Source organism: Homo sapiens, chromosome 3 (genome assembly GCF_000001405.40).
Source record: "Homo sapiens chromosome 3, GRCh38.p14 Primary Assembly".
Lineage (NCBI taxonomy): Eukaryota > Metazoa > Chordata > Mammalia > Primates > Hominidae > Homo > Homo sapiens.
Window position 1 is genome coordinate 14672811 of NC_000003.12, and position 16567 is coordinate 14689377.

General features: G+C 44.2%; 1 protein-coding gene across 10 annotated transcripts in view, besides 4 other annotated features; it reads left to right on the forward strand.

The window, feature by feature from the left end:
- Positions 843 to 892: an enhancer, noted in NCBI's record as "active region_19517". NCBI's record gives its function as "activates an Ori minimal core promoter by ATAC-STARR-seq in GM12878 lymphoblastoid cells {active_cell/tissue: GM12878}" and the evidence as "EXISTENCE:reporter gene assay evidence [ECO:0000049][PMID:35858748]".
- Positions 2331 to 16567, forward strand: part of C3orf20 (chromosome 3 open reading frame 20) — a 97896-nt gene continuing 83659 nt past the window's right edge. For 5 of the 10 annotated variants that reach the window (XM_006713341.3, NM_032137.5, XM_006713343.3 and 2 more), the window contains exons 1-4: positions 2331 to 2442; positions 9360 to 9521; positions 9768 to 10387; positions 11432 to 11572. In XM_006713341.3, the coding sequence (XP_006713404.1) occupies positions 9904 to 10387; positions 11432 to 11572 (625 nt within the window). In that variant the 5' untranslated portion in view covers positions 2331 to 2442; positions 9360 to 9521; positions 9768 to 9903. Of the gene's footprint in view, positions 2443 to 9359; positions 9690 to 9767; positions 10388 to 11431; positions 11573 to 16567 lie in introns of all 10 variants that reach the window. The other 5 variants (XM_011534154.4, NM_001184957.2, NM_001184958.2 and 2 more) reach the window with 4 other exon arrangements.
- Positions 7968 to 8168: a silencer, noted in NCBI's record as "peak4545 fragment used in MPRA reporter construct". NCBI's record gives its function as "represses an SCP1 promoter by STARR-seq MPRAs in K562 erythroleukemia cells {active_cell/tissue: K562}" and the evidence as "EXISTENCE:reporter gene assay evidence [ECO:0000049][PMID:32103011]".
- Positions 13668 to 13817: an enhancer, noted in NCBI's record as "active region_19518". NCBI's record gives its function as "activates an Ori minimal core promoter by ATAC-STARR-seq in GM12878 lymphoblastoid cells {active_cell/tissue: GM12878}" and the evidence as "EXISTENCE:reporter gene assay evidence [ECO:0000049][PMID:35858748]".
- Positions 15991 to 16050: an enhancer, noted in NCBI's record as "active region_19519". NCBI's record gives its function as "activates an Ori minimal core promoter by ATAC-STARR-seq in GM12878 lymphoblastoid cells {active_cell/tissue: GM12878}" and the evidence as "EXISTENCE:reporter gene assay evidence [ECO:0000049][PMID:35858748]".

Here is a 16567-nt window from a genome sequence, read left to right on the forward strand (position 1 = left end):
ACACAGTGTGGTAGTGGCATAAGAATAGACACATAGATCAGTGGAATAGAGGCGAGAGTCCAGAAATAAAACATATATCCGTGGTCAATTGATTTTTGACAGTGGTGCCAGGACCATCCAGTGGGGAAAGAGCAGTCTTTTCAACAAATGGTTCTGGGACAAGTGAATATTCCATGCAAAAGAATGGGTTTGGACTTCTGCCTCACACCACATACAAAAAATCAACTCACGATGAATCAAAGACCTAAATGTAAGAGCTAAAACTACAAAACCTACTGAAACAGCTTGTAGGATAAAGAGGGAGGAGACAAAAAGAAAAATTGGAATACTAAAAAGAAAAATAGAATTATTAGACATGCTAGAATCATAGGAAAAATAGAAAAAAGAAAGGGTAGAAAGAAAACAGCTGGGCACGGTGGCTCACGCCTGTAATCCCAGCACTTTGGGAGGCCAAGGCGGGCGGATCACGAGGTCAGGAGATCGAGACCATCCTGGCTAACACGGTGAAACCCTGTCTCTACTAAAAATACAAAAAATTAGCCAGGCGTGGTGGCAGGTGCCTGTGGTCCCAGCTACTCAGGAGGCTGAGGCAGGAGAATGGCATGAACCCAGGAGGCGGAGCTTGCAGTAAGCCAAGATCGCGCCACTGCACTCTAGCCTGGGCAACAAGAGCAAGGCTGTGTCTCAAAAAAAAAAAAAAAAACAATGAATAGACAAAGAAAGATGGAAAGAGGATGTGTGTGTAACCCAGAGCAGAAGGACTTGAGGCTGACTGTGGAGTAGAAAGGAGAAGGGAGACAGAGACAAGGCAGGCAGCAGGAAGAGCTGTAGGTGTGGGAGCCAGCATCACAAAGGGTCCATCCCAGGTGACCACATCCATGCCTGCAGCACCCGGGTGGACGGCGAAGCAGTTATGCTCGTTGGCTCATGGTCACTGTTATCTGAAGATAACTGTGAGTCACATTTTCTCTGGGATTTCAAAAACTAAATAAACCTATTTATAATCCCCTCTTAACAGTATAATTTAGTTCAGTGTTTTGTGAGCCCTTTTCTGTTTCAGATCCAGTTCTTTGAGTATTGACACACCATCACAGTCTTACTGTGACACGGGCCTGTCTTGTACCAGTGTATCCAGCAGATGGCATTAGAATTCTTAAATGTCAGCTCCATACTCTTAAAACAGCACACTCCAACAGAAATAAAAAATAAATCTGTGGCGCATGCCTGTAATCCCAGCTACTTGGGAGGCTGAGGCAGGAGAATCGCTGGAGCCTGGGAGGTGGAGGTTGCCGTGAGCTGAGATTGCGCCATTGCACTTCAGCCTGGGCAACGAGTGAAACTCCGTCTCAAAATTAAAAAAAAAAAAATAAGCCCAGAGTGTCATTTTCAATTTTCTAGCAACCATATTTAAAAAGTGAAATTATAACATATTTTATTTAACTCAGCATATCCAAAATATTTCAATATGTACTCAATATATGCAAATTATTAGTGAGATCTAAAATTATTCTTCACACTAAGAATTCAAAACTCACTGTGTATCTGGTTATAGCATAATTTGGATGCTAACGTTTCATCAGGAATACTTGATCTGTATTTAGATTTTGTAAAATATGCAGTTGAAAAACACAAATTCATATCCAAGTTGTTCCAAAGATAGTTAAACATAGTAAAGTTTTTCAGTAACTGAATTGAACATCAAGTTTGAAAAAATAAAACCCAGTTCCTTAGTCATGCTAACCTTATTTCAGGTGCTCAAAGGGCCCATGCATCTAGTGCTGCTGTCCTGGACAGAGCGGCTCTAAGTGATCTGCTTTTACACGCTTTATGGTCCGACTATACATAATCCTCCCATTAGTAACTAAAGTATTGGCCAATAAATTTTTCCCAGGCATACATTAAACATTCACAATACTCTGTGGCCATGTTTAACTTGGGAGCAAGTAGTGGCAAAACCTCCTATACAAAAACGTGACCACACCTCATTCATGCCTTTGTAGAGCTAAGCAAAATGCTTTAGATCAAAAATTGCCTTGAATTATTTACGTTCATTGTAATCTCTCCTCTAGGCCTTTGTGTGTTTTGATAGAGTTCGTTTGAATTGGCTCAATAAATCATTTTATTTGCTGCAGAATTCCCAAAGAACATTCAGATCCATATACATGAGATTCCTGCTGCGTTTAGCCATACATTTGCCAGACTTGTGATGTCGTTTATTCCCTGTGAAAGCTCAAGTGCAGCCCACAGGGAGGTTTTCAGCTGACCTTGTTGTGACATGCAGATGAGGTAGTAGAGTTTAGAATTTGGAACGGGGATGGGTACTGGTCTTTACAGTTAACACAACCTGGAGTAGCCCATGCCATACTGTGTCCTTTTAAGTCAGTAAATTGAACTAAGTCGGTTATTCGGCAAGCAGTTCCTATAAAAAACTACATGGCTAAGGTGAGTGATGATCACTGAAAGGAATTCATTGACCCACTGAAAAAATGAGAGTAGATGAAACTACTGCAGTCATCCTGCCTGCCCCTGTTAGCTGGCTGAGTGAGGTGTTTTGCCCCGGTGGGCTGTGGACATTATCTTCATGTTTAAAGTGTGTGTACTGGGGGCGAGAGGCCAGGAATGATATGATGGGTGTAGGTCATTGTCTAGGAAAACTAGAAAATCCAAATGTTCAAAGGAAGTAAGGTGTTGTAGTGAAAAGCTGTCACCTGGCCTATCGATGTTCTGTTATGGTGTTTCTTAGTAAATCCCAGGCTGCATCTATATAGTCACTCATAGTAAGTGTGTGTTTGTCCAGTGGTAGGAGTGGCCAGAAATATTGCATCTGTTCCACCCTCAATTGAAACAGCTTCTTTCTCCACTGTATTTCTTTTGTTTTTGTTATTTATTTATTTATTTATTTATTTTTGGAGATGGAGTCCCGCTCTGCTGCCTAGGCTGGAGTGCAGTGGCTCACTGCAACCTCCACTCCCCGGGTTCAAGTGATTCTCCTGCCTCAGCCTCCCGAGTAGCTGGGATTACAGGCATGCACCACCACGTCCAGCTAATTTTTGTATTTTTAGTAGAAATGGGGTTTCACCCATGTTGGCCAGGCTGGTCTCGAGCTCCTGACCTCAGATGATCTATCTGCCTCATCCTCCCAAAGTGCTGGGATGACGGGTGTGAGCCACTGCACCCGGCCCTCCACTACATTTCTAATTGCCACATTCTCCCTAAGTCTGAAAGCTCACATGCTTAGTAACAGTTTGGCCAGGTTTTAAGCATTTTCTGTGGGGTGTACTGCATTCCTTCCCCCTCCCCCCCGCCTTTTTTTTTTTGGTCATTATTCCCTGCGGTTGAACAGAGCACCTCCCCGCACCCCACCCCACACCAGCCTCTCCATGCACAGCCATAGTTGTTCACGGTTTTTGAAAATCAAAAAATACAAGAGTGGACCTTGCTCCCAGCCCAGGTCTCCCAGGTTGCAAGTGAGTCTGGTAACTGTGCCACTGTCTTTGCTGGGAACCCAGGTTTTATTGCTTTTCCAAAAATAATCACCTTTTCCTTAAAAAGAAAAGGCTTTGTATCTCTGTGTCCAACTTATGATCTGCACAGGTTTCCATGGAATGTGTAATCAGTGTATACACACCATTTGGTTCTTCTTTCTTTAACATTTCTAAAACCGAGCTTCCTAGTTATTTTTAATTGTTGCCTAATAGTTCATCAGCTTAATGTACATCATTATTTCACTATAGGGAATGAAGTGGCTATAAGCATCTTTTAGTATGGTTTAACAAACATCGATCTTTATACAGATAACTTCCCTGACACTCCTCCCCCCCATTTTGAAACTGTCCCCTGGGGTGCCACTTTCATAAGCAGGAAAACTGGGTCAAAGAGATGGTCAATTTTATGTTTCTTCATGGGTCTTGTCAGGAGACCCATCACAGTAAGGGCCCTTTGATACCACAGTGAATCTCCTTGAGAATCCACTCTAGGATGGCTACCATGAGATTCCAGTGTCACATTAAACCTTGGCTTCTCATGAAGTTAAGCTCAATCTTATGTGCAGTGGCCCCAACTCTGCTCACCTTAAGATCCACTTCTCTCTAGCAGAGCCCTTCTTTCCTTTTCTCTGCCAAGCATCTGTCCAGAATGCTGTTTTATATGCTTAACAGTACAGAGAACAGCATCTATTAATTTTCCTAGGTCCACCTCCATTTCTTTTATGCATCTAGTGAGGGCTGATTCTCAGACCTGTCCTAGCCTAAAGCCATGCCTGCTCACAAATTGCAGTCACGCGCTGACATCTGGACTCGCTGCCCTTATCAGAAGTATTTCTGATTAAAATCAGAGAGCCAGAAACTAGAGAAAATAGCAGAGAACACCGTGACCAGATAACCTGAGGAGGCTTAGTTTGATTGTCTTCTTAAGTATACAGCTGTGTATACTTTGACCAAAAAATGTGTTCTGAATCAGTGCCAGTAAAGGGGTGGAGGTATGCCCTCTCTCTGCTTTTAAATCTATGCTTATTTCCCCTCAGCTGCCTTCTGGCCGGGTACCCTTGATTTTCCTGAAGCTCATTCAGAACGTCTTCCCTTTTCCTCCCTGTCCTGCTTTTGCACCATCATGTACCCCTGGCAGTTTGCTGGGTCTGTGCCTTTTTATACCCTTCCAGGTGCTCCTAGGACTGGACATCCTTTTTTTTGTTTTTGTTTTTGTTTTTTTAGACGGGAGTTTCGTTCCTGTTGCCCAGGCTGGAGTGCAATAGCGCGATCTCAACTCACTGCAACCTCTGCCTCCCGGGTTCAGGCGATTCTCCTGCCTCAGCCTCCTGAGTAGCTGGGATTACAGGTGCGCACCAGCACACCTGGCTACTTTTTGTATTTTTACTGGAGACGGGGTTTCACCATGTTGGCCAGGCTGGTCTCAAACTCCTGACCTCAGGTGATCTGCCCGCCTCGGCCTCCCAAAGTGCTGGGATTACAGGTGTGGGCCACCATGCCTGGCCTGAACATCCTTTTTTGATCGTAGGCAGAAATAAGTGTGCTGTGGGTGCAGCTCACATCCTTGGCTAACCCCTAGCAGCAGCTATCCATATCCACTCACCCCACCACACTTCCCTCCACGCTGCCAGCAGCAGAAGGAGCACCCTACAATGCAGATGCCTCCTTTGTTTGCCAACTTCAGTAGTTTCCCATCAGCTACAAGATCAAGCTCAGGCTCCTCTCACCTGGTCCTACCCTCCCCACCTCTACACTACCCTGTAGCGGCATCCAGTTCCTTGCTGTTCCACAAACTTGTCAGGGCTGTTTGGAGCCTTCAGCCTGTACAAGAGCTGTGCCCATCGCCTGTAATACAACCTTTGACCACTTCAAATAATGACCTTTTTTCTACCTAACAATTACTGAGCATTCAACTCTGTGCTGCGTGTGTGCTGACCCTTCACACACACCACCTCACTAATCCTCACAGTCCTTGAAGGTGGGGACTAGTGTCACACGTGGCCATTGGGAACATCACACAGATCAAAGGCTGGGCTCAAGGTCACATTGCCTAAACACACATTCATGTGACGTGAGAACCTTAACTCTTGCCCTCCCAGTGACACTTCCTTCTCTGGGTTTCCATTCCGCCTTGCAGAGAGCACTCTGACTTACTGTAGCCTTCTGTGTGTGTGTCTCCCCTCTCTACTGTGAGCCCCTCGAGAGCAGGGCCCATGCCTTCCCCATCCCTGTCCCAGAAGCTAACTGGAAACAGTGGAGACATGCAGCAGATTGTTGACTGAAGAAGGTGCTGCGTCCATGGTCATCCCTCATATCCTTTATAAATTTCTTATACATTTCATTCCTTTGTGGGAATTGCATCTTGAAGCTTTGTTTATAGCCATCTGCGTGGGTCCCTTAGGCTATGTGGCTGACTTTAATGCTACAGATATTTTTCCGTTTCTGGCATGTAGCAGTGCTGGGCTTAGCATTGTAGAGATTATAAAAGAGAAGACATGGCCCCTGCCCTCCAATTGCAGAGATGAGACCATATGGAACACAATTAGCCATTAAAGACAATACATTTCAGTATTTGCATGGAGTATTTGATTATATAGCACATGCAAATTCTTTGGAATGACATACAAGGCCCTGCAAGATCTGATTCTAGGCCACTTTCCCAGTTTCATCTGCTGCTCTCCCACGGATCCCCCCACATCCCAGACATACTGAGGTGTGTGCAGTCCTCTGAGCCCACCATGCTTCCAATGTCACCATCTCTTTGTAGGTGCTGTTTCTTCTTCCTAGAATGCCTGTCTTGTTCCTATCTGCCTGGCAACTTCTTACTCATCTTTTAGAACACTGTCTAGTGCCAGTTCTTTCCTTTTTGTTTTTGTTTTTGTTTTCATGGCCTTTGTATGTTTTTCTGTAGTGTGACCCTTATCACATAAGTCAGTTTTGTAAGTCTGCTCTGCCTGTTCATTGTTGAGTTACTTTAGGTCAAGATCCATGTCTCAGTGATGGAAAAATGAATGACAAAATAGAAATTGGATAAATGGGAAGGAAGGAGTGATGATCTAACATGGCTGGGGGTCAGTGGGGAATCACTTTCATTGGCCAGAATAGAGAGCTAAATAAAGTGGCTTAAAGGCATTAGAGGTTCATTTGCATGTGGAAAAAGCCTGGAGGTGGATGGTTGAGTGCTGGTGTGGGTGCCACAATGTCATCAGGAGCCCGGGCTCTGCTGCGCAGCTTGGCCACCTTTAATGCGAAGTTTCCCTCTTCAGGGTAACCTCGTGGCTCAAAATGGTTGCTGGAGCTGCAGCCATCTTATCCATTTCAGGCAAGAAGGACTAGAGAGGTCAGCTGGTACAAAAAAAAAAAATTATGTTCATTCCCTGAAGGCAGTCTCCTTCAAACAGATTTCTCAGGGTCCTTTACCCAGGAGCTTCATCTGCATCTCAGGCCAGGATGTAGTCACATGTTCACCTCTGAGTTTGGAAGAGATGTAAATATACAGCAATAAACATAGGTTATCTCCACATTTAATTTAAAATGACATTGCTTTTTAAAACAGTTTTTAGGTCTGAATACACATTTCTCAAAAAAAGATATAAAATGGCCAATAAGCATATGAAAAGATGCTTAGGGAATTAGTCATTAGGGAAATACAAATCAGAACCACAATGAGACATAATTTCACATCTACCAGGATAGCACTAGAGTCAAAAAGGCATAATAACAAGTGCTGGCAAAGAGAGAAATTAGAATTCTCAAAACGCCACTGGTGGGACTGTGAAATGTTACAGCAGTCTGGCAAGCCCTCACAAAGTTAAACACTTGAGTTACCCCATGACCCAGCAATCCCACTTCTAGGTATACATATGTGAGAGAATGAAAACATACATCCACACAAAAGCTTATGTATGCATATTCATAGCACTATTCATAATAGCCAAAAAATAAAAATAACCAAAATGCCCATTAACAAATGAGTGGATCAACAAATTGTGGTATATCCATACAGTGGAATATTACTCTGTCATTAAAAGGAGTGAAGTACTGATACATGCTATATAACATGGATGAATTTAAAAAACATTACAGCAAGTGAAAGAAGACAGTCACAAAAAAACCCACATAGTTGATGATCCTATTTTTATGAAATGTCCAGAACAGGCAAATCCACAGAGACAGAAACTAGACGAATGGTTGCCTGAGGGTGAGGGGAAACAGGGAGTGACTGATGATGGGTTTTGTGTGGGGGCAATAGAATGTTCTAAAATTTGATAGTAATGGTTATACAACTCTGAATATACTAAAAGCCATTGTACACACGTTAAAAAGGGTGGATTGTATGTGAATTCTATCTCAATAAAGCTGTTCAAAAATTCAGTTTTTATCTGTAAGATATATCTTCAAAATTAACCTCAAAAAACAAAGGAACTGGTGGCAGGGGGGATAAGTTTCCCAAACCAGTTAATATTTCAAGACTTATATTAGTTATCTCCTTCTTCTCATTTAAGTCCTGACTTAAAAAAAAATCTGCCCTGCACAGTCAGGATCAGATCCCTCTGGCTGGTTGCCCAGATGACCGGGATTCTGAGTGGTTTCTTTGTCCTGTGGACTTATCATTTCAAAAACAAAGCTCTTTTTCCCAATCTGCAAAGCTGAGGAATGGAGATGCCAGGAGGTCAACAAATAGGCGTAGGAAGCCACTATCTGCAAACCAGCAGGATGCTGGAAGGGTTTGCTCTTTGGGGCTCATGTTCCTTGGAGATTTTGTTATTGATAGATGGACAGAGGCAGGTCAGAGGCCATGAAAAATTAGTGTGGTGTTTGGAAAGGCCTCTGTGCCAGGAGTCTGCAGATGGGTGACTCCTGACCAAGAGCTCTGATTCCCAGCAAAACAAGAAAGATGATAGCCTTCTCACCACTGGGTGGGCACACGAGCTCGTGGCTGTGAGCCTGCCCTGTAAACATGGAAGGTGGGCACCAGGCAGGCCATCCTGGAATGGCGAACTTGGGGTGGCTCCAGAGGGTTTGAAAAGGGAAAGGGAGCATTGTCTAGTGGAAAAGAAGACGTAGGTGTGTTGGCTGGAGTGGTTGTCAGGATAAAAGGTGGTCGAAGAGATGGTTGGACAGCTGCACTCACTCACAAGTGTGGTCAGAAGCCTTGGGCCAGCAGCCCTTCCTGGTAAGTGGGCTGGTTAGGGTTGTTGGAGTTGGGCAACAGGAACAACTCGCTGACTCTGCATCAAGATGCTGGAGATGGCCATCAGCATCTAAGTCTCCCTGGGGTTGACCTTTGCTACGTGCTGTGGATTCTTGAGTCTTTCACGGAGGCTCACACTCTCATAAAGTCCCTTGGGAATTACAAGAAACAAATCATTTTTGTGTAGCATAAGATGTGACTAGTTTTAATTTGATATATTATTAAAGACTGCTATCAGGTTCATTTTGTTCAGAAAAATGAAACTTTCAGGATCTGGTTACAAAACTCTGCCAGTGTATTTACAGGTTTTTCTAGCCATTTTTTTGCTTATTAAATTGTTCTTTATGCTTCCTTTCTTCAACCAGTGGTCTATTTTTGGTATAAGTTAAGAAGGTAAGAATAAAACACAATGTAGAAATATGTCAGGGTAAACATTACTGTAGTATTAAAGTGGAAAAATATTTATTATAGTCCATTGATTTTCAGGCACATTTTCCAACTTTAACATCTCTGAAATTGTAATATGTCTTACAGTCAATGGCAGCTTACATTCATTTTTTTCTTATAAGATGGTGCATCTTTTGATCACTAATGTCTTGGATTTGATGAAATTTGGCAAATTATATTAGTGATTGAGCTTAGTAAATGCATTGTCCTCATTCTTTCCTGTCTGCCCTCAGATGTACACGTTGGATAATTCCATGCCCATCTTGGCATTGCGACCAGGAGCTTCTGCATCCCTTGCTTCCAAAGCGAACCAGTGAAACATCTTTTTATTCTTGCAGGTTCTTAATGATTGACCACAAGCAGATCTTTCACCCTCGGATCTCTAGCTACAAAAGGTGCAATGGGACCTTTCTCTCTTCCCCAGCCCTTCCATTCCTCCAGCCCCCCCAGGGTCCTATACCCAGTTTGTGTGACTGTCCTTGAAGCTTTCCTGGAACCATACTTATCATCAGACCTTTCCCAAAGTGACTCACTAACATTGGTCTCTCTGATGGTGTCTCTGGGTAGGTAAGGGACGGGGGACCTCCCCTTGCCCTACTATGGGGAGAGTGACTAACTCTTTTCTTGTCCTTTCCGGATAGGAACCACTGGCTCAATGACCTGTAAGGGCCGTTTCAGCACATCCATTCTGTCCATCTCCAAGCCTTCACCGTAGGGAAGAACTTTTGCTCTCAGTCACCTCTCAGAGAGCTCTCTTTATAGCTGAAGGTCCCTCTCATGAGTTACATCAAGAGTAACCTAGAATTATATCAGCAATACACAGCCATGGCCCCCAAGCTACTGGCCCGCATCTCCAAACTCCTCATGATCTGCCAGAATGCAGGCATTTCTGTACCAAAAGGCATCAGAAACATCTTTGAGTTCACTTGGGAAGAGCTCATCAGTGACCCTTCAGTGCCTACCCCGTCCGACATCTTGGGCCTGGAGGTCAGCTTTGGAGCCCCCCTGGTGGTGCTCATGGAACCCACCTTTGTGCAGGTCCCCACACTGAAGAAGCCACTACCTCCACCACCACCAGCACCACCACGTCCAGTGCTGCTGGCAACCACTGGGGCAGCCAAGCGCTCCACCCTCTCTCCCACCATGGCCCGTCAGGTGCGCACCCACCAGGAGACCCTGAACAGGTTTCAGCAGCAGTCCATCCACCTGCTGACGGAGCTCCTCAGACTGAAGATGAAGGCCATGGTGGAGTCTATGTCGGGTAAGGCCCAGATGTTTGTGTATGTGCCCACCACACCCACTACAGACGGGCGTCTCAGAGGCACATGCTGGGAACAGGTGGCAACTGTGGGTCTGCTGTAGGAATTGGATGCCTTCCCTCTGCGGCTCCTGGAATCATCCTCTCACTCCTCCCTGTTCTCCCATTTTTCCTGCCATTGCCCCAGCTTTCCAGAGTCCAGATTGGAAGGTTAGTAATAGGAATGTGCGAGGTCAGAGGCACTAAGGGGCAGTGTTTGTGAGAATGATGCTGAGGTGCGGAGACAGCACCCATGTCCGGGTGGCATATGAAGTTTTCAAACCAGCAGGGCTGATTGGGAAGTAGCCAGACAGAGCCCAGTAGAGCCAGAACAAGGGGGAGTCATAAGAACCAGGGTCCCAGGCCAGGCGCGGTGGCTCACCCCTGTAATTCCAGCACTTTGGGAGGCTGAGGCAGGATGATCACAAGGTCAGGAGTTCGAGACCAGCCCGGCCAATATGGTGAAACCCTGACTCTACTAAAAATACAAAAATTAGCCGGGCATGGTGGTGCACACCTGTAATCCCAGCTACGCAGAAGGCCAAGGCAGGAGAATCGCTTGAACCCAGGAGGTGGAGGTTGCAGTGAGCCAAGATCATGCCACTGCACTCCAGCCTGGGTGATAGAGCGAGACTCCATCTCAAAAAAAAAAAAAAAAAAAAGAACCGGGGTCCTTCCAAAGTGAAGGTGTCATCCCAGGATCAAGGCCAGGACCTACAGCAGCACCAGTGATGGAGCCTTCTGGATGCTGCATCATTTCAGAAACCAATAGCATCGGTACCCAGGCCTATGGGTAGGAAGAGAGACAGGCAAAGGGAGGAGAGCAAAGCGACATCTGAAGGGTCCTCAGAGCTTGAGAGCCTTTCACAGTAGCCCCCTCACCCCTGCATACCCTAGGAATAGCGCTCTACTCTACCCTTCTTTCCTGGGCCATTTACAGAGGTCCTTTTCTGGAAGCATTAGCCCCATGCTAGGAGGGACACGTGTTGCTTTCTATCATTGCTTTAGTGGGTGCCAACCCCTTGGACATCACCAGGCGCTTTGTGGAGGCCAGCCAGCTCCTCCACCTCAATGCCAAGGAGATGGCCTTCAACTGCCTGATCAGCACAGCCGGGAGAAGTGGCTACAGCAGCGGACAGTTGTGGAAAGGTGGGTACCTGAGCTTCAACCCTTAGGTAAGAAGTGCAAACAATATCAGCAGGAATGCAATGGAAAGGCAAAACCCCCAGTTTGAAGGTTTGACATTTCCAAGAATTGAGGTGGATGTGGAGCAACAGGGATTTTCAAATGCTACAGGTGAGTGGATGAATTGGTGCAATTCCTGTGGAGAGTGGTTTGGCGGTATCTGCTGAGTGGGCAACAGCTACACCTCACAACCCAGCAGCTCCTCTTAGAGGTCATTCCCTAGAGCCGTGCTCTCAAGCTACGTGCAGTGAAGGACTCATGTTTAAAATTTCCAGTCTGTTGTGGACTGACCCTTTTAAACACATGATAAATGTCACAGCAGTGTCAAGTTGCTGCACAGGCCTCTCAGTGCTCACCTTCAGTTTTTGTGCTCACCTGGTCATGGCCTATGTGGGTCAGTGGCAGTCCACAGGCTGCACTCGAGTCATACAGCCCGAGGGAAGCTCACACATGTTCCAGAAGTCATACAAGAATGTTTATTGCAGGCAGGCATGGTGGCTTATGCCTGTAATCCCAGCACTTTGGGAGGCCAAGGCAGTAGGATCCCTTGAGTCCAGGAGTTCAAGACCAGCTTGGGTGACATAGTGAGACTGTCTTTAAATTAAAAATAAAAAAAGAAATGTTTATTGCAGAATTCTTTGGACTGGCAAAAATTAATCCGAATGTTTATCAACAAGAGAAAAAGATATAAATTAAGGTCCATTTAGACAGTGGGACATAATGAATCACGAAAATGAGTGAGGCACTAAAGCATAGATATTTACAGAGAGAAATCTCCAATGATAGTATTAAGGAAAAAAAAGAGGAAGCTGTGGGAGGATATTACTTTTCAAAGTTTAAAAGCATGGAAAGTAGTAATATATCATTTATAGGTACATTACACAAAGTACAAGTATAAAAGCATGAAGGGGGAAATTCGAGGAAGTGATCTCTGGGGAGAGAGAAGGGGAACAGGATCTGGAAGACAGCAAGCAGTTGAGTCTGTAATGTTCTTTTTGTTGCTTTTTTCTCACCCAGTGACCTCTCTCTCTCTCTCTCTGTTTCTCTCTCTCTCTCTCTCTCTGTGCGTGCGTGCGTGTGTGTGTGTGTGTGTATGTGTGTTAAGAACACAAAATCTACTCCCCAAGCAAATTTTGAGTGTGCAATACAGTGATATTAACTATAGTAACCATGCTATATATTAGTTCTCCACAATTCATTCCTCTTATAAGTGAAAGTTTGTACCCTTTGACTAATATCTTCCCACTCCCCCGCTGCCACCCTCCAGTCCCTGTCAACCACCATTCACTCTCTGCTTCTATGAGTTTGAGTTTGACTTTTTTAGATTCCTCATGTATGTGAGATCATACAGGATTTGTCTTTTTTTTCTGGCTTTTTTTTCATTCAGCATATAATGTACTCTAGGTTCACTTATGTTGTAGCAAATGGCAGGATTTCCTTTTTTTTTTTTTTTTTTTTTTTTGAGACGGAGTCTCGCTCTGTTGCCACGCTGGAGTGCAGTGGCACGATCTTGGCTCGCTGCAAGCTCCACCTCACAGGTTCACGCCATTCTCCTGCCTCAGCCTCCCGAGTAGCTGGGACAACAGGTGTGTGCCACAATGCTCGGCTCATTTTTGTATTTTTAGTAGAGACGGGGTTTCACCATGTTGGCCAGGATGGTCTCGATCTCTTGACCTTGTGATCCGTCTGCCTTGGCCTCCCAAAGTGTTGGGATTGCAGGCGTGAGCCACCACGCCCAGCCCAGGATTTCCTTTTTTAATAGCTGAATCATATTCGTGTGTGTGTGTGTGTGTGACATTTTCTTTATCCATTTATCCTTTGATGAACATTTAGGTTGTTTCCATGTCTTGGCTATGTGAATAATACTGCAATGAGCATAGGAGCGTAGATATCTCTTTGAAATACTGATTTCTTTTCTTTGGATAAATACCCAGAAGTGGAATTGCTGGATCATATGGTAGTTCCATTTTTAAATTTCAGAGGAACTCCATACTGTTTTCCATAATGGCAGCACCAATCTCCATTCCCACCAGCTGCATACAAGGGTTTCCTTTTCTCCACACTGTTGCCAGCACTTGTTAGCTTTTGTCATTTTGGTAATAGCCATTCTAACAGGTGTAACGTGGTATCTCATTGTGGTCTTGATTTGCATTTTTCTGATGATTACTGACATTGAGCTTTTTTGTCATATACCTATTGGCCATTTGTGTCTCTTCTTTTGAGAAATGGGTCCTTAATCCATTTTTAAATCAAGTTATTTGGTTTTTGCTCTGCAGTGTTTTATGTCTTAAGCTTGGTAAATACACAGGTGTTCATTTTGAATGCCTGAAAGTACTCACTGACAAGAGGTTTTATAGGAAGCGTAAAAAAATTCTATCTCCTAACTATTTGCTGTCACCTGTAGAGTCAGTCCCCATTTAGTCTCTCTCCCTGTCCACTGAGTCAGTAGCTTTGTCAGGCTCCCCTGATGGTCAGAGATTAAACATCTGCTAATACACACATACAGTGCAAATAAATTGCATAGAAAAATTGCAGATCTTGGGGAAAAAATGTAAGATTTCATGAAGTCAATGAAAGTGATGCTGGAGAGCTGCAGAATGCCCCTCCAATGCCCCTGATGCCTGATGCGGGGGAGCAGCACTAGCCGCCTGCCGCAGAAGGGAAAACCGAATACAGGATCATGACTCCATGGAGAGAAAATAAAAAGCAGTAAAGCTCTTCAATAATTTTGCAAAAGGAAAACATGAAGGGCCTTATGTTTTATTGCCATGATACAATCATTCAGGAAGAAAGAAACCATACTGCCTTGAAAAACCCAGCAGTCATTTTTATTTTCTTTGTAAGACTTAATGTGTTCTTAGAGTACCAACTAATTTTTTAAAATACAAGATAAAATGTTATTTTCATAAATTTTGGCTTCCTTTTCTAAGACAAAGTTGTGATAAAACACTCTTACCCACAGTGTTTACCATGAAATGAAGATCTCTGTTTTAGGGGAAGTTACACTGTGCCTGTTTTGTTTAGGATCAGCTAGGCTCTGAGACCACAGGTCCTCTAGTTGTGCTGTAATTATTTGTGCAGGTGGTGATCGCCAGACAGAGCTCTGCACCTTGCATTCTGTTTTGGGGCTTAAAGATCTCCCTCATTTGGGGGCACAGCTGCTAAGTAGTCTGTTGCACGTGCATGAGAGTCCCATGGCAGATGTCAGGGTAGCTCCAGCCCAACCCTCGGGCCTGACACCTGCCTGAGCCACTCCCACCTGAATACCATGTCTCCTCACTTTTAAAAGGAAAATGGTCCTCACCACTAACACTCCTTCTGATAAAGTGTTTCAGCATTCTTTCAGGATGAGGGAGGCACAGTGGCTTCTGGCATCCTCTGTGGGCTGCGATTCATCTAATGGAGGAGAATGGGAAGAGAGTTAAGCTGAGCTGGGGGCAGGGGGCCTTTTGGGTGATCTCTGCATCTTGCTGTCCTGCTGCACCAGCCGATTGCTGAGAGCGCCCCTCTCCATCACACTCCCTAGCAAGCATCCCTGTCTTGTTGGCACTTGCTGGTGCAGACGCTCCTCTCTTTAATTAAGCCTAGAGTTTCCAGACAAAAATCTAAGTAGCAAAACAAAAACGAAGGAGTGATCCATTTATTTTGGAAAAACACTCATTCATCCTAAAAGGACTTTACTTACATAGCACTCCTGGGGCATAAAAAAGAAGATTCAAACTCTGATGATTTGTTTTGCATGAATTATGTTTTTCGGGACCGTCCTCTTATGTGAGGTAGACCAAAGCTGTAACAGGTCTAGAGTTAACTTCTTTTAAAGTTGGGACCAGGCCGAGTGTGGCGGCTCATGACTGTAATCCCAGCACTTTGGGAGGCTGAGGCAGGAGGATTGCTTGAGGCCAGGAGTTCAAGACCAGCCTGGCCAACATGATGAAACCCTGTCTCTACTAAAAATACAAAAAAATTAGCCGGCCGTGATGGCACACATCTGTAGTCCCAGCTACTTGGGAGGCTGAGGCTGGAGAATCGCTTGAACCTGGGAAGCAGAGGTTGCAGTGAGCCGAGACTGTGCCACTGCACTCCAGCCTGGATGACAGAGTGAGACTGTCTCAAAAAAAAAAAAAAAAAGAAAAAAAAGAAAAGAAAAAGAAAAAAAGCTGTATCCAGAATATCCCCTGTGCTAAGTAGTCTTCCCTCCTGTCCTGATACCTACTAGCCCTGGCTTGTCACTGAAGAAAACCAGACTGCTCCTTTATTTTTAGTTGACGACAATATCATTAATAAAAATGCAAAAAAGAGGAAGCAATCCTGCCATCTTCATATAAGAGCTACTTTTCACCTTTGCAGTTTCCTTTGTGGTTCCTGTGCTCGTGTATGTATATATATATATTTAGAGTATTGCAATTTTTCTGTTTCTTAGTTTCTTTTACTTAACAGAGTACAGCTGTTTTCCAACATGGCTATATACTTTAAATAATTGTCATTTTGAGTGGGCATAGACTCCTTGTAATGTTCATGTTCCACATTTACCGAAATGCTTAGGTTTCCAGGCTTTTTGTTATTTGTATAATGTGCATTGTAATAGGCAACTTTATGCACCTGGCTTCTTATTTCTGTTGTATTTAGTTAACTTCACAGGGGAGGGATCATTGGAGCAGAGGTCTCAGTATATATATATAGCTCTTCTTCTGAAATCACACTTAATTTGGATTCTCTCTACACCAGCAGGGTTGATGGGTTTTATTCCTTCTTTACCATTACTGGCTATTGTTAGTTCTTTTCATTTCTACCAAGTTAGAAGGTCCTGAAAGTTGTCTTAATTTCAACTTCTGGATCACTAGCAGAGGTGATTACTTTTGTGTTTTATCATCCATTGTGGAATCTCTATAGTCTTTGTCCACTTAGGAGGTCAAATTTGCCATTTTCTTTTTGAATTTGAGTGAGCTGTGATGAGTGAAT